The sequence below is a fragment of the Homo sapiens genome, chromosome 15 (genome assembly GCF_000001405.40).
Source record: "Homo sapiens chromosome 15, GRCh38.p14 Primary Assembly".
NCBI classification, from domain to species: Eukaryota; Metazoa; Chordata; class Mammalia; order Primates; family Hominidae; genus Homo; species Homo sapiens.
Window position 1 is genome coordinate 54,474,133 of NC_000015.10, and position 22,573 is coordinate 54,496,705.

The 22,573-nt window shown below is 36.8% G+C and overlaps 1 protein-coding gene across 7 annotated transcripts in view; it reads left to right on the plus strand.

Moving 5' to 3' along the window:
• UNC13C (unc-13 homolog C) overlaps nucleotides 1–22,573 on the plus strand; it is a 795,839-nt gene that overhangs the window by 636,531 nt on the left and 136,735 nt on the right. For all 7 annotated transcript variants that reach the window (XM_047432538.1, XM_017022220.2, XM_017022221.2 and 4 more), the window contains one exon: nucleotides 20,476–20,602. In XM_047432538.1, coding sequence (XP_047288494.1) covers nucleotides 20,476–20,602 — 127 coding nt within the window. The remainder of the gene's footprint in view (nucleotides 1–20,475; nucleotides 20,603–22,573) is intronic.

A 22,573-nucleotide genomic window follows, 5' to 3' on the forward strand; every position in this document is an offset into this window, starting at 1 on the left:
TATTTCTTTTATATATTGATTTGTTGATTTGCTTTTTTTGGGAGGGGTGGTAAATACCCAGTAGTGGAATTGCCAGAACATATGGTAGTCTTATTTTTAGTTTTTATGATAAATCTTCATACTGTTTTCCATAATGGCTATACTAATTTACATTCCTACCAAGAGTGTAAGAGTTCTTTTTTCTCTGCGTCCTCACCAGCATCTGCTATTTTTTTCCTTCTGATAATAGCCATTCTAACTGAAGTGAGATAATTTCTCATTGTGGTTTTGATTTGCATTGCCTTGATGATTAGTGATGTTAAGCATTTTTTCATATACCAGTTGGACATTTGTATGTCATTTTTTTTGAGAAATTATTCATGTCCCTTGCCTGCTTTTTAATGTAATTATTTGTTGTGTTTGTTTGTTTTGTTTTGCTGTTTACTTGTTTGAGTTCTTGTATGTTCTGGATATTATTTTTGTCAGATGAATAGTTTGCAAATGTTTTCTCCCATTCTATAGGTTATCTCTTCACTCTGTTGATTGTTTCTTTTGCTGTGCAGTAGCTTTTTAGTTTAATATAGTCCTGGTGTTGGTCCATTTGCACTGGTATAAGGAATACCTGAGGCTGGGTAATTTATGTCTTTTTGGCTTATGTTTCTTCAGGCTGTACAAGAAGCATGGTGCCAGTATCTGCTTCTGGTGAGGGCTTCAGGAAGCTTCCACCCATACCAGAAGAAGAAGGGGAGCAGGCATCACACGACAAGAGAGGAGAAAAGAGAGAGGGAAGGGAGGTGCCAGACACATTTTAACAATTAGATTTTATGGGAACTAAAAGTGAGAGTTCACTGAATCCCACAAGAAGGATACCAAGCCATTAGTGTGAAGACATCCATCCCCATGACTCAAACACCTCCTATTAGGCCCTACCTACAACATTAGGGATCAAATTTCAACACAAGATTTGGAGAGGACAAATAGCCAAATTATATCACTCTGATTTGTCTGTTTTTTCTTTTGTTGCCTGTGCTTTTGAGGTCTTAGCCATAAAATAGTTGCCTAGACCAGTGTTCTGAAGTGTTCACCCTGTTTTTGTAGTGTCAGGTCTGATAGTCTTTAATATATTTTGAGTTTATTTTTGTGTATAGTGAGAGGGGTATGGTTTTTTGTTTATTATTATTATTATTATTATTATTATTATTATTATTATTATACTTTAAGTTTTAGGGTACATGTGCACAATGTGCAGGTTAGTTACATATGTACACATGTGCCATGCTGGCGTGCTGCACCCATTAACTCGTCATTTAGCATTAGGTATATCTCCTAATGCTATCCCTCCCCTCTCCCCCCACCCCACAACAGTCCCCAGACTGTGATGTTCCCCTTCCTGTGTCCATGTGTTCTCATTGTTCAATTCCCATCTATGAGTGAGAACATGCAGTGTTTGGTTTTTTGTCCCTGCAAAAGTTTACTGAGAATGATGATTTCCAATTTCATCCATGTCCCTACAAAGGACATGAACTCATCATTTTTTATGGCTGCATAGTATTCCATGGTGTATATGTGCCACATTTTCTTAATCCAGTCTATCATTGTTGGACATCTGGGTTGGTTCCAAGTCTTTGCTATTGTTAATAGTGCTGCAATAAACATACGTGTGCATGTGTCTTTATAGCAGCATGATTTATAGTCCTTTGGGTATATACCCAGTAATGGGATGGCTGGGTCAAATGGTATTTCTAGTTCTAGATCCCTGAGGAATCGCCACACTGACTTCCACAATGGTTGAACTAGTTTACAGTCCCACCAACAGTGTAAAAGTGTTCCTATTTCTCCACATCCTCTCCAGCACCTGTTTTTTCCTGACTTTTTAATGATTGCCATTCTAACTGGCGTGAGATGGTATCTCATTGTGGTTTTGATTTGCATTTCTCTGATGGCCAGTGATGATGAGCATTTTTTCATGTGTCTTTTGGCTGCATAAATGTCTTCTTTTGAGAAGTGTCTGTTCATGTCCTTTGCCCACTTTTTGATGGGGTTGTTTGTTTTTTTCTTGTAAATGTGTTTGAGTTCATTGTAGATTCTGGATATTAGCCCTTTGTCAGATGAGTAGGTTGCGAAAATTTTCTCCCATTTTGTAGATTGCCTGTTCACTCTGATGGTAGTTTCTTTTGCTGTGCAGAAGCTCTTTAGTTTAATTAGATCCCATTTGTCAATTTTGGCTTTTGTTGCCATTGCTTTTGGTGTTTTGGACATGAAGTCCTTGCCCATGCCTATGTCTTGAATGGTAATGCCTAGGTTTTCTTCTAGGGTTTTTATGGTTTTAGGTCTAACGTTTAAGTCTTTAATCTATCTTGAATTAATTTTTGTATAAGGTGTAAGGAAGGGATCCAGTTTCAGCTTTCTACATATGGCTGGCCAGTTTTCCCAGCACCATTTATTAAATAGGGAATGCTTTCCCCATTTCTTGTTTTTCTCAGGTTTGTCAAAGATCAGATAGTTGTAGATATGCAGCGTTGTTTCTGAGGGCTCTGTTCTGTTCCATTGATCTATATCTCTGTTTTGGTACCAGTACCATGCTCTTTTGGTTACTGTAGCCTTGTAGTATAGTTTGAAGTCAGGTAGCATGATGCCTCCAGCTTTGTTCTTTTGGCTTAGGATTGACTTGGTGATGCGGGCTCTTTTTTGGTTCCATATGAACTTTAAAGTAATTTTTCCAATTCTGTGAAGAAAGTCATTGGTAGCTTGATGGGGATGGCATTGAATCTATAAATTACCTTGGGCAGTACGGCCATTTTCATGATATTGATTCTTCCTACCCATGAGCATGGAATGTTCTTCCATTTGTTTGTATCCTCTTTTATTTCCTTGAGCAGTGGTTTGTAGTTCTCCTTGAAGAGGTCCTTCACATCCCTTGTAAGTTGGATTCCTAGGTATTTTATTCTCTTTGAAGCAATTGTGAATGGGAGTTCACTCATGATTTGGCTCTCTGTTTGTCTGTTGTTGGTGTATAAGAATGCTTGTGATTTTTGTACATTGATTTTGTATCCTGAGACTTTGCTGAAGTTGCTTATCTGCTTAAGGAGATTTTGGGCTGAGACGATGGGGTTTTCTAGATATACAATCATGTCATCTGCAAACAGGGACAATTTGACTTCCTCTTTTCCTAATTGAATACCCTTTATTTCCTTCTCCTGCCTAATTGCCCTGGCCAGAACTTCCAACACTATGTTGAATAGGAGTGGTGAGAGAGGGCATCCCTGTCTTGTGCCACTTTTCAAAGGGAATGCTTCCAGTTTTTGCCCATTCAGTATGATATTGGCTGTGGGTTTGTCATAGATAGCTCTTATTATTTTGAGATACGTCCCATCAATACCTAATTTATTGAGAGTTTTTAGCATGAAGCGTTGTTGAATTTTTTCAAAGGCCTTTTCTGCATCTATTGAGATAATCATGTGGTTTTTGTCTTTGGTTCTGTTTATATGCTGGATTACATTTATTGATTTGCGTATATTGAACCAGCCTTGAATCCCAGGGATGAAGCCCACTTGATCATGGTGGATAAGCTTTTTGATGTGCTACTGGATTCGCTTTGCCAGTATTTTATTGAGGATTTTTGCATCAATGTTCATCAAGGATATTGGTCTAAAATTCTCTTTTTTGGTTGTGTCTCTGCCCGGCTTTGGTATCAGGATGATGCTGGCCTCATAAAATGAGTTAAGGAGGAGTCCCTCTTTTTCTATTGATTGGAATAGTTTCAGAAGGAATGGTACCAGTTCCTCCTTGTACCTCTGGTAGAATTCGGCTGTGAATCCATCTGGTCCTGGACTCTTTTTGGTTGGTAAGCTGTTGATTATTGCCACAATTTCAGATCCTGTTATTGGTCTATTCAGAGATTCATCTTATTCCTGGTTTAGTCTTGGGAGAGTGTATGTGTCGAGGAATTTATCCGTGTCTTCTAGATTTTCTAGTTTATTTGCGTAGAGGTGTTTGTAGTATTCTCTGATGGTAGTTTGTATTTCTGTGGGATTGGTGGTGATATCCCCTTTATCATTTTTTATTGCATCTATTTGATTCTTCTCTCTTTTTTTCTTTATTAGTCTTGCTAGTGGTCTATCAATTTTGTTGATCCTTTCAAAAAACCAGCTCCTGGATTCATTAATTTTTTGAAGATTTTTTTTTTGTCTCTATTTCCTTCTGTTCTGCTCTGATTTTAGTTATTTCTTGCCTTCTGCTAGCTTTTGAATTTGTTTGTTCTTGCTTTTCTAGTCCTTTTAATTGTGATATTAGGGTGTCAATTTTGGATATTTCCTGCTTTCTCTTGTGGGCATTTAGTGCTATAAATTTCCCTCTACACACTACTTTGAATGTGTCTCAGGGATTCTGGTATGTTGTGTCTTTGTTCTCATTGGTTTCAAAGAACATCTTTATTTCTGCCTTCATTTCATTATGTACCCAGTAGTCATTCAGGAGCAGGTTGTTCAGTTTCCATGTAGTTGAGCAGTTTTGAGTGAGTTTCTTAATCCTGAGTTCTAGTTTGATTGCACTGTGGTCTGAGAGACAGTTTGTTATAATTTCTGTTCTTTTTCATTTGCTGAGGAGAGCTTTACTTCCAACTATGTGGTCAATTTTGGAATAGGTGTGGTGTGGTGCTGAAAAAAATGTATATTCTGTTGATTTGGGGTGGAGAGTTCTGTAGATGTCTATTAGGTCCGCTTGGTGCAGAGCTGAGTTCAATTCCTGAGTATCCTTGTTAACTTTCTGTCTTGTTGATCTGTCTAATGTTGACAGTGGGGTGTTAAAGTCTCCCATTATTAATGTGTGGGAGTCTAAGTCTCTTTGTAGGTCATTCAGGACTTGCTTTATGAATCTGGGTGCTCCTGTATTGGGTGCATATATATGGGATATCCAGCTCTCCTGGCACCATTATTGAAGAGGGTATCTGTTCACCAAGGTGTGTTCGTGGTGCCTTTGTAAAAATTCAGTTGGCTATAAATCCTTGAATATATATGCTGTCCAGTGCTTCAAGTGCTCTGCAGTGCTTCAATAATCACGGGGATTATTGAAATCCCCGACTATTATTTTATGGGGGTCTCTCTCTCTCTTTAGCTCTAAGAATATTTGCTTTATATATCTGGGTGCTTTGGTATTGGGTGCATATATATTTATGATTGATATATCATCTTGGTAAATTGATCCCTTGATTATTATATAATGTTCTTCTTTTTCTCTTTTTCTGTTTTTAATGTAAAGTCTCTTTTGTCTGCTATTAGTTATTCCTGCATGCTTTTGATTTCCATTTTTGTGGAATAATTTTTTAATTCCTTCACATTCAGTCTATATGTATCTTTACAGGTGGAGTAAATTTCTTTTAGGCAGCATACAGTCAGATTTTTTTAAATCCATTTAACCTGTTTACATCTTTTAATCAGAAATTTAAAACAGTTTGCATTCCAGGTTATCATTGTTAGGTGATAACTTACTCCTGTCATTTTGTTATTTGTTTTCTGATTGTTTCATATATCCGTTTTTCTTTATTCATCTTTTATTGTTTGCCTTTACAATTTTTTGGGTTTTCAAAGTGATAATGTTGGATTCCTTTTAGTTTTTTTTTCTGTATGCACTCTACTAGTAAATTTTATACTTTTTTGTTTTCATTATGGTAGATATCATCTTTTCACTTCCAAATATAGGGATTCCTTAAGCATTTCTTGTAAGGCCTGTGTAGTGGTGATGAATTCCTTCTGTTTTTGTTTGTCTGGGAAAGAATTTACTTGCCTTTCAGATTCGAATAGTAGCTTTGCTGGGTATAGTATTTTTTATTGGCAGTTTTTTGTTGTTGCTGTTTGTTTGTTTTTCTTTTGCACTTGGGATATTTCATCCTATTCTCTCCTGGCCTGTAAGCTTTCTGCTGAGAAGCTACTGTTGGTTTGATGGAGACTCCCTTATATGTGAGTTGACTTTTTCCTTACTGTTTGGAGAATTCTTTCTTTGTATTTGACTTTTGGCAGTTTGATGATAATATTCCTTGGAGGAAGCTTTTGGATTGAATCTGTTGGAAGATCTGTGAGCTTCCTGTATTTGAATGTCCATATTTATTGTAAGACTTAAGAAGCCTTCATTTAGCTCTGCTGTGGTCTTTATTATTTATTTATTATTTAAGCTATTATATTTAATAATATAAAATGGTTTTCTATTCCATTGGCTTTCTTCTCACCCTCTGGGACACTGAAGTTTTGAATATTTTGTCACTTTATAATGTTTCATGTGTTACATAGGCTTCGTTCATTCTTTTTTTACTCTTTTTTTTTTTTTTAGTTTTGTCTGGCTGGGTTATCTCAAAAGACCTGTCTTCAGGTTTATAAATTCTTCACTCTGCTTGACCTTCTCTATTGTTGAAGTTCTCAATTATGTTTTTTCATTCATTAAATATTTAGTTCCATGATTTTTTCTTTATAATGATGTTTATCTCTTTGTTGAATTTCTTATTCAGATTATGAATTTTCTAATTCATTCGTATTGTTTATCTGGGTTCTCTTGCTCTGTGTTTCTTTAGTATTACCATTTTTAATTAATTTTTAAGTATTTCATATATTTCCTTTTCTATGAAATTTGTTACTAGAGAATTATCGTGTTGCTTTGCAGGTGTCATGTTTCCTTGCTTTCTCTTATTTCTTGGGTTCTTGCATTTACTATCTGCACACCTGGTGTAACAGTCACTTTTTCTAATTTTATCAATTAGCTTTTATAGGGAAAGCCTTTTTCCTATAGTCACATGTAAGGAAATCAGATTAGCAGCAGATTTCTCAGCAGAGGGGATGTCAGCAGGGCTTCAGGGATCTATAGATGCACTAGCTGTAGGGTCTCAGGGTACAATGTATTCTCATGAGGACTTGGCTCTCAAAACCTATGTAACTATAGTATTGGTTTGGTAGGATGCTTTGGTTTTGTTTCTGGCAGGGCATAGTAGTGTGTTCTCTGTACCATTCCTTTGGCTGTAATCAGTATCATTAATGTCTTGGAGTTCCTCTGTGGTTTAAGCTGCCGTTATTAGTGGAGGCTATGGCAATGCATTGCTGTGGATGGGATGCTAGGCATGCTGGTCCTCAGGTGCCAGTGGTGGTGGCGTCAGTATGCATAACATTGGCAGTGGCAGTAGTGGTGGTGAGCCAACCCTCAGGCCCATGAGTGGTGCATGCTGGAGCCAGCAGTGGCAGTGCAGGACTGGGCAGGCCAGTCCCTGACCCCTGAGAAACACACTTGGGTGCAGACTGCAAGAAAGAAATTGGCCTTTCCTAATGCTCCTGGATGACATGCACATGCTACAGTGGGGGACAGGGTGAGCTGATCTTCAGGGTCTTGGAAGGTGTGTGTGTGTGTACCTGCAGTCGGCAGGTGGGTTGGATCAGTCCCCAGGTCCAGGATGATACATGCAAGTACTGGTTGCAGCAGCAGTGGCTTTCAGGGCGCAATATAGTCTGGTGAGGCTGGGCTCTCAAAATAGCAGAATGCTGCAGCTGCTTGGGTTTTGGGGGGTTTATGGGACAAGGATGGGCCTGTCTTTGGGTCCCTGGATGCTGTATGCAAGCACCAGTGGTGGTGGGCAGGACACAGAATCCAGAGGACATGAAAAGTTGCTGCATCTGTGGTGTGTAGAGCAGCCCTGTCCTCATGTCTCCTGATGGTGCATGGGGATGCCAGCAGTGGCAGGCAGGATGGACCAATCCCCAGGCCTCCAGATGACCTGTGTGGGTATAGGCAGCAGTGGTGATGTGCAGGACAAATCTCTCCTCAGGTCCCAGGATGACATGTGGATGGGCCCATAACCAAGGCCCTTGAAGGCACTTGCAGGTGTGTGGCAGCATTGCTCCTGTGAGGGGCAGGGTTGCTCTGCATGGCAGTGGTCCTAGGCAGGTGGCTCTCAAGCCCTGGGGAATATACACTTTGTCTCGCTTTTTTCTCATGGCAGCCTCTCTGGTGTGCTTTACCACATGTTCCCTGGGGTGTAAGGCACTGCATGGGCTAGAGTAGTGGAAACTCAGCTGCACTGCCGTGTCCAGCTAGTGTCATGATACTGCAGTCCTCGGGAAGGACATAGGGGGATGTCAGCAGAGCTTCAGTAACGTAAATGCAGGAGCTTTTAGCCCTCTGGGCACAGGATAGTCCAGTGAGGCCTGGGCTCTCAAAATAGCACAATATTGCTGCTGTTTGGGTCTTGGAGGGGTTACAGGACCCAGCGTGAACTCCTTCTTTGAATTAATCCAATCAAGTGAACTCGCAGCAGCTCCTATTCCAGTCTCAGGGCCTGTGAGAGCCAAAGGGTTCTCCTGTGTTAGGAATGTAGGAGCGGGCGGTGGGAATTTAAACCACTGGGGATCTTTTGTTCACCTTTTTCCCACAATGGGAGGTTCCTCCTGACTCTGAGCTGATCCTGAGGGGCCAGCTACTTCACTTCTCTCTCCTTCCTCGCCTCAGAAGTTCTCTGTCTCTTCCCTGCTGAATTCCACTGTTCTCTCCCAGATGCTGTATTCCACATGTGGTTACCTACTTGGTGTTTAGGTCCCTCTGTGTGGAGGAGGCAAGTGCCAGGTACCTCTAGTTTACCCATCTTGAAGTCTCCTGCACATTTAAAATGTTGATATATATTGCCAATTTTTCCCTAATGGGAAAAGCAGTGTATATTTTACTTTTTGTCAGTCTGACAAATATCTCATTAAATTGTCATTTCTTTAAATATGAACATAGTTATACATTTTTCACATGTCTAAAGGCCATTGTAAATGAGAATTTCTTATCCTCTAACTTTTTAATGAACTAGTTTATTAATTGTTATTAATTTATAAAAATCATTTGAATATTAAGAAAATTTAACTATTTGTCAGAAGTGCTCTAAACATTTAGGTAGCTTTTAACATTATCCAATTTAAATTTTACAGTGAATATTAATTTTCTAATATAGTGAATACTAGAGCTGCAACTCCGTCATAATTTGTAATCTTATTCTCTAAGTGTCTTTTCTTCTTATGGCTTTGTTTTCTTATTTCATAGAAAATAAGACATCATCTTACCACTTTGCATGCTTTTAAATTAAATTTATCTTCTGCTCTTCAGCTGGTTTTTCAGAGATCTGTGTTAACCTTGGTGACAGTGTCTGTCAACATAGGCCAGCCAGGTCACCTGCATTATATTCATCTGAATGCTTATATTCACCTGAATGCTTATTCCAGACTTACCAAATCTCTGAGAGTAGGGGTCAGGAATCTGCATTTTAACAAGCTCAGACTAAGGTTTGTGAACTACTCTAAATAATCCAGATGATTATTTAGAACAATTTTTCTTTGTTTTTAATTTCTTTTCATGAGAATTACGCTGTTTTCTTTTCTTTTCTTTTCTTTTTTTTGAGATGGAGTCTCACTTTGTTACCAGGCTGGAGTGCAGTGGCGCGATCTCAGCTCACTGCAACGTCCACCTCCCGGCTTCAAGCCATTCACCTGCCTCAGCCTCCCAAGTAGCTGGGATTACAGGTGCGTGCCACCATGCCCAGCTAATTTTTATATTTTTGGTAGAAATGGAGTTTCACCCCGTCTGCCTCTGCCTCCCAGGGTGCTGGGATGACTGTCATGAGCCACTGCGCCCAGCCCTGTTTTCTTCACATTACTTATTTTCTGTCTTTGCCATTGCATAGGATGTTAAGGTTATTTTAATTGTGAGAAACACTCTCCCTACAATGCAAAATGCCACTGGCATTTCTTTGTCTCCCTCTCACCTTTTTACCTACCTTTTACCAACAGAAACACACATATTCACGGAACATACACAAACACACACAGTACATACACACACACACATGCACACTCACACACTTCCTGGCTAGTTATCTTCTGGAAGTGGTCTTCCATACCTTTCATACATTGAATTATTTGTTGCAGGGTTGGGAAGGATTATGAATCAGAACTCTGGCTTCCCTGAAAAAAAAAAACCAGCATCTAGGAAGCTGATGATTAGCTACACAGTTTTCTCTTATATGCATTCATACCTGGCAAGCAACTGGAGGTGAGGAAGAGATGAACAGCAAGAGTCAGGATTATAGTGGGAGACATGGTCTTAGGTGCTCAAACACATCTGAATGGGTCATTGTATTGCAGTTTTATAAATCCAGTTGTTTTGAAAATTTCCCCTAGGTCCTAGCCATGGTTATTGATTGGTTTTACTTTTTAGCGAGCATGGAAGTATTCATAATTTTCTGTGTTCACTTATGCGTTTTCAGTGTAAAATTGAGACATGATACATTAGGAACTCCTATCCAGATGTTATTTTAAAACCATGAGCTGAATTGAACATGTCAGAACTAAAATGGCATACAGAGAAAGGAAATTTAGACTTATTAAACAAATACATTATCAGTAAAGTAAGTAAATAACTATTCCTGCCAATAATACATTTTAAATTGATCAAATATTTAGGATGTTTTTACTTCCTGTCAAAATATAAACTAAGTGAACATGTTTTCACTTTATCTTCATGACCTATCACTTGGGCCCATCTCCTTAGTAAATAATAAGGAGATGAAGGCAAATTCAGAAAAGCTAAGGAAAAAAGAGCTTAGTTGAAATCTACCAAAAAGAGAAATTCCTACAGTTTGTTTTTGTATGCTGTAAATCATTGATAGAAATCAATTTCCTCCCACAAAAAAGGATCTCAATTACAGGTTACATTTAAATAAGTAATGAGAAAATGTACCATAAATTTCAAGAGGTAAAATCCACAAAGATTTGAGTGTTTTAATAAAAAACTATAAGTAATGATTTTGTAATAAAAGTTATAAGATTCTGAGACATACTTGAAACTGATTATTTATGAGTGGTTAATTTGAACTATTATGGATGAATTTTTTTTTTGTTTTATCAACAATTCTTAGCAAAAAAATTTACTGACACAATCAGGGCCTTTTATTTTAATACAGAAAAAAAAATGAGTAAGATGCAGCAGTGACTTTTCCCCATTGGAAGCTATAAACCAGCAAAGCTGTAGGCCAAGTCCAATGTTGATTAGTCTGATTGATGATCCACTTCATTCCCAGTAAGACCTAGAAGAAAATGAAGAAATGGAAATGGCAAAGAAACTGGATACAATCTTTACATTCTTTCATCCATTTATCTATTCATCTATTCATCCATCTATGGTTCTAAGCAAACAAGATTGAGCAAGGATACAAAATTTCAATAAGTTACCATTTCTGGTCTCAGGTTATTTAGTAGGAAAGAGGTGAGAGGTAAGGCTATGTAGTGGAAAGACACAGAACCAAGATTAGACTTCATGCCTCACCGCTTCTACCACAATCATCACTGCTACCACCCAAGTGTCCAAGCTGCCCTGTCCCTTGTTCTACTGCAGTAGCCTTCTGCATCTCCTTCTGCCTCCACTTTCTCATCCCTGTCTTCTGTTCACCAGATAGCAACCGAAGTCATGTTTTACAGATGTAAATCAGACCAAAATCATGCAGTTTTATTCCATAACTCTTAGAGGAAAATGTCTCAGTCATGGGTTACAAGATCCTATGTGACCTAGTCCGGGTTTCTCTCTGAACCCAGATCTCAACACTCCCCTGAACTCACTTTGCTTCAGTCACACTGGCCTCCTTGCATCTCTTTGAGCTTGTCAAGCACACTTTTTTGCTTGAGGGCCATTTCACTGTCTGTATTCTCCACCAGGAATGCTCTTCCAGAAGATGGCTCTGTGGTTTGCTTTTTGACTTCATTCAGTTCTGCTCTCTTGTCATCTCATGAGCCACCTTCCGTGAGCACCCTATCAAAAAAGGCACTCCAGGCCCACTTCCTCCCCTTACATTACATTATATATTTTTTTTCCAGAACACATACCTCACATTATACTTCACATTATATTGAATGGCATTTATTGTCTGCCACTTGTCACTATATTATAAGCTCCATGATGGCAGGGACACCGTGTCTTTTTCTTTGCTGTATTTCCTGTATAGAAAATAGTACCCAGTGGCCGGGCATGGTGGCTCATGCCCATAATCCCAGCACTTTGGGAAGCTGAGGTGGCCGCATCACTTGAGGTTAGGAGTTTGAGACCAACCTGGTCAACGTGGTGAAAACCCAGATCTATTAAAACACACACACACACACACACACACACACACACACACACAATATCAGTGTGGTGGCGGGCGCTTGTAATCCTAGCTGCTCCAGAGGCTGAAGCAGGCGAATCACTTGAACCCCCAGGAGGTGGAGGCTGCAGTGAGCCAAGATCACGCCACTGCACTACAGCTAGGGTGACAGAGCAAGACTCCATCTCAAAGAAAAAAAAAAAAAGAAAAAGAAAAGAAAAGAAAAAAGAACATAGCACCTGGTTCATAGTAGAATAGTCAATAAATATATGTTGTATAAAGGAATGAAATCCACATTTTAGTCCTTAGTTCTAATTCTCACAGATATACTTTGTACTATATTTATTTATAGGATTATGGGTAAATATGCAAAGTAAGTGAAACTTATCTTTTTTAATACACTTAGTCAATGATTTGTCAATTAATGCCAAGAGCTTTGGACACCTATCTTTTATCATTATGATCCAGCCTGTTGGCTGTCTCTTTTTTAAAAATACCCTTTCTCTTTCCATCCCATTCTTTTTCTTTATAACTATCCATCTCTATTTCCAACATCAGATTATGTGGATCTACCTGTATACTGCTTCCTAATTTTTCAGGTCTATGGCTTGGACAAGTCATGCAGCATTCTTCCAAGTCATATCATGGAGTGACTCTTCCTCTAAACATGCCAGTATGGCTTTAGATCTAGACCAGAACTAGATATAAGCCAAGATTCAAGTAGGTCAATCAGAGAGTATATCTAAGAGGAATGTCCAACTGGAACATACCTCATAGATCAAGGCCAGAATTCTAAGTGGATCAATCAGAGAGTATATCTATGAGGAATGTCCAACCAGAACATACTCATAGATCTAGGCCAGAATTCTACGTAGATCAATCAGAGAGTGTATCTATGAGGTATGTCCAACCTCACATCATTCCTGGTTTAATGAACCCAGGGATCCTGGATTCATTCCGGGTTTCTGCTGAGGAATTGTTTGTGACTATGAGCAGAACTACCAACTGCTACTCCTCTCAAGAATAAAGCTTCCTTTGGCATGAGTTTCAGTGGTCATAAAGTAAGGCACTATTTCTTTAATTTTCTTTGCTTTTTTTCCTGGTATTTTGCTAAGATTTAATAACAGAAATGTGTCATGAAAGAAACTTCTATATCTTTTTTCTTACCCTACAAAAATTAACTATATTTGTTCCTCCAAAGTCATTGATTCTAAAGAAAGTTTATTACCATAATGGCCAGGCACAGTGGCTCACACCTGTAATCCCAGCACTGTGGGAGGCTAAGGCGAGTGGATTACTTGAGGTCAGGAGTTTGGGACCAGCCTGGCCAACATAATGAAACACCATCTCTACTAGCAATACAAAAGTTAGCCAGGTGTAGTGACACTCACCTGTAATCTCAATGACTTGGTAGGCTGAGGCAGGATAATTGCTTGACCTCAGGAGGTGGAGGTTGCCATGAGCCAAGATTGTGCCACTGCACTCCAGCCTGGGCAACAGAGCAAGATTCCATCTCAAAAAAAAAAAAAAAAAAAAAAAGACAGAGAGAGAGAAAAGAAATTTGATTACCATAATTTACAATTGTGACTAATCTTTCCTTTTTTCCTATTTTCCTCTCTAGAGGATTCACATTGGTCCAGATGATTTTTCCTGACATATTACGTATAGTCATTTATTTTTTCATTTTTATTACTCTAACCTTTAACCTTGTTAACACTATAGCTTACTTTTGGCAGCCAGGATTTTGATGATTTCTTGCCTCCAAAGATATCCCAACATTATAAGATCTTTATAAAGTTTCTCTAAAATGGAAAATGGCAACTCATCCTACCTTATTTTTTCAACTTCTAATTACATGGCTTACCATTCTTAGCATATAAAAAAGAACTCATGATCCCATCTAAATATTGTTAATGTGAAGTTATAATTACCTTGGAAATGCTTACGTGTGTTTTGTATCTATCATAGTCTGTCATAGTTTAGAACCAACGTTTCCTGGTGATAAAATTTTGTGTTTGTGAGCACACAATAGCTAGTAAAACATTATACATACTGAGTCCTAATACAGGCTTTTTATTTCATATTGTTTCCAGACCATTCATATTACCACCTATTAGAGCTAGAGCAGTCTGCCAAACATGGAGAGGGATAATTAAAATAGTCTTAATGAAATTATATGTTACAAACTATAGGATAAAGCAGTGTTTATGCAATAAAATGATGTCACAAAGTAAGGACTGAAAAACAACACTGTGATGATAGCAGCAAATTTTCCTTTGGCATGAGAATAGGTCAAGAATATACCATTCCTATTATGTAAACCAAAACATAATTGTACACTATACAGAAAAAAACTCATGAATAAACACTGACTTTCTGAAGAAAATATATTATTTTCAAGTGAATGCTTGTAAGCACCATTTAAAGGAAAATAGTCACATTCTTCCCAATTGCCAAGCCTTTTCCTTGTACAGTTTTAATGAACCATTTTTATTCTGGTAGTAAAATATTCACATTTCTCATTGAAATTCAAAGATTAAATTTTGTACAAAATTATACTGCAGTTTGGAAAACTAATTAAATGTTTTATTTTGTAAATGTAATGAGCTAGTTAAATCTTTGTTGCCAAAATTAAAAATGTAGGAGGATTGATGGCTAAATAAATTCTAAGAGTCATTCACATCAGTTGAGATTGATGCCATTTTGTCAACGCAGTCTACCACTAAGCAGAAGATAATTTGAGTAGAAATAAAGGTAATTTGAACTATATTTTTGAATTTGATATGACAATATCTTACATTGATTATTTGGTAGGCATTAGTTAGGATATAATTGTAGTTTATTTTAAATATCTCCTGTATAATATGTGATTACTCATTATGGAAGGCATATATGAACACATAAGAAAAACAGGCACTTGGATTTTGGAACAATAACAGCTCACTTTTTATAGAATCATTTAAGAGGCATTAACTACCCAGAATGTAACTGAGAGACCACAAATATGAAACAAGGATGACAGGAAGGTAAAATATGTATTAGATTATCCACAAAGCCTATGTATTTTACTTGTATGATTACTCCCCATTCAAAGCCTGTATACTTTTATCTTAGCATGAACTTAACAAATTTGATTAACTGGTTTTCTGTGCAGTGGTGCATCAATTCATAGTGGAGTCAGCTAGAGTTACACTGATACAGTTCCAACAGGGCAAGGAGACAGCCTCAATGTATGTGTGTATATATACATCTATATGTATGTATATGTATGCAAGAAGAAAGAAGCAGGAAATTAGAAAGCAGAGCACTCTGGAGGATAATTAATAAGTGGGTATTAAGCTTGGAAAATCTTGTTGTGATGTAGCAGAGCCCCAAATTCAATCATACAGCAAGGAAGGCTGGAAAATGTAGTCTGGTTGTGTACCTGAGAGGAAAAGGACATAGTTTGGTAACCAGTTAGTTAAACCTGCCACAAATACTGGGGTTCATGATGATTTCTGTACTACAAGTCACTGCAAACAAACCAACAAAATCTTATGTTTAGTATTTGCCACTTAAGGGCAAACATCACAGGTAGATCTCATTATATAGAAGCATATCATTTCTTTTCCTTTTTGTTTGTACTGTCCTCAAGATCAGACTTGTATCACCAATTAACTCAATATATTGAAAATCTTTTATTATATCAGCTGAAGTGCATAATGCATGAAAAAACCCAATTACTCTTTTGTTGAACTGGCAGAATGGGCAAACAGATACTGAGCTCCCCTGTTTCTGTCCACGGAGAACAATAAATATCAGCTGATAGTGCATGAGAGAAATATAGCATAAAGGGATAAAGATTAATTCCCATGGGTTTAGAAGCAACTTTGTAAGGAGGAAACTATTAGTAATTTTTCTAATGTTTTTTCCCAGCAAAGAGGCTGGTAAAACCCTGATACTTAGAGTTATCATAGCAGGTACACTCTTAGGAACTAGAATGAGTAGTCTCTAGATAAGAATAAAACTAGTTTTAATTCTTTAGAAAGATTTAGGTATCTTTCCTATCTCCTTTCCCATATCCATCCTCAACGGGAAGACTTGTGAAGTGAAGAAGTGGTCTGCCTATGTGTGGCTGCAGTAAAGTAGACAGAAGTGTTTCTTTTGTGGGAACAACAGGAATGAAGAGACTGCAGGAATGTAGGGAGTTTGCAGAGTCCAGGAGGATGAATTGGAGGAGATCTATAAGTTCTGAGCAGAGCAGCCAGAGAAGGAGGAAGAAACAACTCGAATTGAAGAACAAATGGGTTAAGCAAATGAACTGAAGGTCTTGTCTGAAAAACTGACCAGAATGCGGCCTACTGCTGGCTTTTACCTGCTTTCCAAAGTGTAGAGGCTACTGCATTGCAAGGGACAGGGATTGGGAAACTTTTTTTTTTTTTTAATGGCATGGCATAAATTCAACATTCACCCAGACTTACCACCAAAATATTTAAAAACATGAGTAGAGAGACAGGAAAAAGCTCAAGGTTTTAATTGGAAACATAGTTACATAATTTTGCGGACATGCACACATCTTAAATAGTATCCCATTTAAGTAAGAAAAATGTCTTGTTTTATGTTTCTTTTGACATAAATTCCTCTCTCCCACTAAATACCACTATCGGCAGATCATTTCATTATTAAGTTGTTCACTTAAAGCACAAAGTACAGCTAAATTCATCTCCTCCAGGAGACCACAACATCCTGTACCTGTCGAAAATCAAGGCACTTGCCATATTGTATTGAATTGAAAGTTAACATATCACCCTTTCTTCCTAAGCTCCATCTACTTCAGATCAATGTGTTTATATTTATATTTCCAATGCCTCACATGCAACCTGGGGCAAGAGACACACCCAGTAAACATTTTTTGGTAGTAAATGAAACTGAGTTGCTTTTTTCTTTAGCATTCTCTTCATGTACAAATGCTCTTGGAAGAAATAACACATTAATTCAGGCTCATTCCTAACATTTGCAGAGGCAAGAGCATAGATGAAGATCCACATACCATAGACCTAAATAGTTATAATTTATAAATCTAACTAATAAACTGTTAAATAAAACATATCCTAACTTCCTACCAAAGGAAAAAAAAACCTTCATATCAACATGATAAAAGTTGTACGTAATAGCAGTTATATTTTAAGATGCTAAAAGCTGGAAAAATGCAAAAGTTAAAATGTAATTATCAATATGCATATTTGAGTGTTGTGCTTAGATTGGTAATATTTTTGTTTTTAAATAAATGTATGCATAAATCAGTATATTTTTTCAGAAAATATACTTTCTCACCTTTATTTTAGCAAAATCACTAATTTGTTCTTATAATAAAAATTTTCAAATATTTTGCATTTGGCTTAATGTGGTGCCAAACAAACAATACCTTTCCTAAGTCACATGATATCTGCTTGCTTTCATTATTTTCTGTTTTTAAAATTTAGGCACACCTGGCCGGGCACGGTGGCTCACGCTTGTAATCCCAGTACTTTGGGAGGCCGAGGCGGGGGGATCACGAGGTCAGGAGATCCAGACCATGGTGAAACCCCGTCTCTACTAAAAATACAAAAAATTAGCCGGGCGTGGTAGCGGGCGCCTGTAAGTCCCAGCTATTCGGAGAGGCTGAGGCAGGAGAATGGTGTCAACCCGGGAGGCGGAGCTTGTAGTAAGCCGAGATCACACCACTGCACTCCAGCCTGGGCGACAAAGCGAGACTCCATCTCAAAAAAAAAAAAACAATTTAGGCACAGCTTCACTTTGAAATGTTTTCTCTCTTTTTGCTTTTCAGCCTTTACTTTTTCTACTCATATATTTTCTTTTTCTACCTAATCAGAGTTTACACAGCTTGTTAATATTTAAAGGATTAAAAAATAAAAGGTTGCCGTATTCCAAACACACATTTGAGTCTATAGTTTATACAAAGGTTCAATTTAAACTTTCAAATACAAAAATTAAAACAAAATTATCTCTATATGTGTTCTCAGATACAGTTTATATATAGTTTTCAGAAGGTTTTTTCTAAAGTACCCAAAATATTTATTTAAATGAAAACAAAATACAAATTATTAATATTAGATATAAATTTCTAAGGTAAATCATTTGAATACAGCTAAAATTTAGTTAAACCTCATGTATCTAGATTTTAAAAATAAAAACTATTGACCATTTTAACATTAAATGGCCATCTAGTTGGCAAAGAAGTATCAGGCTTCATGTATATTAACATAGAAATTTACATGCACAAATTTAAACATAATATGAATTATTTAATACTTAACATAGTTCTCAGCCATTATGTACACCTGTTTTGATTAATGGTACTGCAGTGATTTATGAGTATCTTCAGACACATACAGTTGAACCAAAGGAAAGTAAGCAAGTGGGTGCTTGTTAATGATGCTTTATTATGCAATAATCTGCTGCATTTCTGCTATCCAAAGGAAGAATTTGGCAAGTTAATTAGTTTGCCCCTTCTCTTACCTCAGTGCTTCCAGAGCACAAATTTCTCCCCACACTCCAAAGCAGTATCTTTCTGTTGTCAGCAATGGTACAACCCGCAAACCTTGGTAGCATTTGGACATTGTCACCTTTTGATTCTAGGACACAGGAGGAAAAATGTTCCAAAATGTTTCTCTGGGTCTTAGAGGGTGTTAATCATAAGAGTAGGTGGTGTTACTCACAAGAGGAAATATTTAGTATTCTGGCTTGTTCTGTGCCAGCACCAAGTGTAAGATCCCAAGTGATAGAGGAGCCCAAGAGCTATTTAATGATGAGTCTATATTTGTGATAAGTTGAACCTTCTAAATTCATCAGTCCCCGAGCGAAGGTCTCCATGATCTGGGTTTCAGGGTAGTATTGTGTGAAATTTCTACCTGAGTTTATCAAGTAAATGTTTTCTCTTAAAGAGCACAGGGATATTAGACATCTGAAGAAAGACGTTAGGGGAGAGCTTACACTGAATGGTGAAAACAGTGAAATGAATTTGGAGGAACCTAAAGCAAAATATCATCTTGACTAAAATCTTGTTTGGGAGTTTGGCCTAGAAGTATTAGTTTATTACTCTTGTTTCTATGTGAGTACATGTCTTTATGTTCCCCTCCCTCCCTTCCTGCCTCTCTCCCTCACTCTCTCCTCTCTCTCTCTTTCTGTCTGCTCTACAACTTGTCTTGAATTAATCATTGTTCAGATAATTTGGAAATGTTTGACCTGGGGTTGAGTTCTCTCTTATGTTCACGATTGGGATTTTAGTCCCTCTATATTCCGGTTTTGAAAAGCAGGGATGCCTTTAATTTGTTTATAACAACCTAATTCTTCAAATAGTGTTTTAAGAATTTAGCTTGGAATGTAAAGTATAGGATGTTTCTGCTATAAATCAAAGTCCTTAGGAGACTCACAGACCTCAAGCAGAATTTCTCAGAGGGCACATTCAACCTGGATATAGCTAGGTATATTTTAGGTTTCATTATGTTTACAGTTGTAGTGAAAACTGGCCAAATATTATTAAGGAGGGAAAAATAGCATAGATAAACATTCTCAGTAACATTATTATTTGTCTCTATTCCCCAGCCCTGTATGTCCAGGTCACAATAGCTTAACAACTGTGATAAGCTATATTTTTTGAGCAAGAGAGAAAAAAATGCCACATATTAGGAAATCCTGCTAAGAATGTATCAAAAAAGCCAAGGGGTGCAAGATAACTTTAGGTAAACCTACAGAATGAAGAAGAAATCATGTGCCTCATAAGTTAGAGATATTTTCTCTCCTTTTCAACTATTTTAATGCTTTAGGGGGTAAATAACTAGGCCAGAAATGTGATCTACTCACTTCATATCTCCAATATTGATTAATCAATGATTATAGCTCCTGACTCATGTTTTATGCATGCTTAGAACAACATGGCACATGTATACATACGTAACAAACCTGCACGTTGTGCACATGTACCCTAAAACTTAAAGAATAATTTTAAAAAAAGAATTTTAATTCTCTCTGTCACTTTGCATCAAGCTAAAAGCAGTAAAAATATGAAAATTTGCAGATAAACAGAAATTTTAGTATGTTATTACTCTGTAACTACATCTGACTTTTCACATTTTTCAGTAAGCTGGATTAGAACATTGAAGTTATTTTGCATTACTGCTTGACCTATTCTATGTGGGACTTATAATTATTTCTGCATTTTATAAAATTTTAGGTCAGCTTTTAGCAATTCATTATACCTTTACATCTAATATACTATTTTCTTCCTTTTAGAAATTCTATTAATAAAAATAGATTGGAACATAGCAGCATTGTTGGCAAACCAAGCTTTATTAAATATTTAATTTTATCTGTTATAGAACATGAAAATCAGCGGTTATGCAAGAGCACCGATTATATGAATTTGCATTTCAAAGTTAAATGGTTTTATAATGAATATGTGCGTGAACTTCCTGCCTTCAAGGATGCTGTTCCTGAATACTCCTTGTAAGTAGTGATTTTAACACACACACCCTCAGATCTAAATTCACATTCCTGTAAAATTACACCTGAATTGTGTACCACTAAAATCTCTTCACATAATCTTCATTGGAATGCAGAAATTTCCATTATGAAGTTAACATTAAAGGATTTGCATGTCTTTGGGAACCATATTTAATTGAATTGTGTTGCATATTTCAAATACGCCCTACCTGGATATTCAACTCAAAGACAAAAAATGCATAATAAGACATGGCTCATGTGATAACATGAATGATTTTCTGTAAAAATACCAGAACACAGATTTTTTTGGGGAAAGTATGGTGCTTGTATATTGACCTATATATTCAGATTTTCCTTTCTATTCAAACTTGTAACTCTCTTAGGAATTCATATTTCTAAAAATAGAAATAGTGGTTTAACAGGGAACTTTCTCATAAATATGCCTCTTTCAAACACATTTTAATCACACAAGGACTCATGTAATAATTTGCATTTGATATGTATTAGAATTCTGTTTTATTCTATTGATGGGGTCTTCCCTATGGCAGGCACTTTCCAAGTGCTGTAGAGCAATAGAAAATAAAGACCCCCACCCTGAAAGGAACTTATACTCTAGGAGATGCTGATAAGCTTAAATATCATTATAAAGCAAGGCAAAGTGAAATATGTGCTAATTTAAGGAGCATAAGCAAAGCGCAATAGGGTTTCACAGAAGAGAGAAATTACCTCTATTTGGGGAACTCCACACAATATTTATAGATGGGATAGCATTTGATGTAGACTTTATAAAATTTGCCAGGTTACAGAAAGAAAAGGGAGAAAAAGCATTAAGATGAAAATGAAAGTTATGAGCATAATTATGGAGGTAAGAATATATGAGCTATCATCCATAGGAAGTAAGGCATATTTCCATTTTTATAAAATTAATAGAAAGTAATATTTTAAAAAAATAATGTAGGAAAAGTAGTTTTGAGCTAGATTGTTATAAATAAATATTGTGAAGCTTGTACCACATTCATCAGGCATTGTGGGAGTTGGAAGAGACAAGGAATGGGGGGCAGAGAAGAGATTTAGAAGGTAATGAGTGATTTAGAGATGAAATTAGAACAGCCCTTTAACACAACTTTTCTCATACAAAGTATATAAGAAGTAAGGGGACAGTGGGATAACTTAAAAATGCCGTACTATGGGGTATAGGGTGTTGGGGAGATTTTGGTCAAAAGATACAACATTTTAGTTAAGTAGGAGGAATGAGTTCAAGAGATCTATTATACAACATGGTGACTGTAATTAGTGTATCATACTCTGAAAAGTTGCTAAGAGAACATATTTTACATGTTCTCACCATAAAAATGATAAGTATGTGAAGTAATGCATTTGTTAATTATTTTAGTTTAGCCATTCCACAATATATACATATTTCAAAACAACATGTTATACTTGGTAAATACATACAACTTCTTTTGTCAAATAAAACATACTTAAAATAAATACAATAAAATTATAGTCTTTATGTTAAATAAAGGCCATACTGAAAATATAGAGTGATTGCAGCAAGTATGTAAAGGGTGAAGATGTGGGAGAGAAATTTTGAAGATAGAATTTACAGAATTTGTCAACTAAAGACATATGGGGTTAAAAGAAAGAGGAAAGGTGAAGATTCCTTAAAGAACTAAAAGTAGATCTACCATTTAATCCAGCAATCCCACTTCTGGGTATCTACCCAAAGGAAAAGAAGTCATATACAAAAAAGATCTTTGCACATGCATGTTTATAGCAGCACAATTCACAATTTCAAAAATGTGGAACCAGCCCAAATGCCCATCAATCAACAAGTGGATAAAGAAATTGTGGTGTGTGTGTGTATATATATATATATGTACACCATGGAATACTACTCAGCCATAAAAAGGAATGAAATAATGACATTCACAGCAACCTGGATGGAACTGGAGACCATTATTCTAAGTGAAG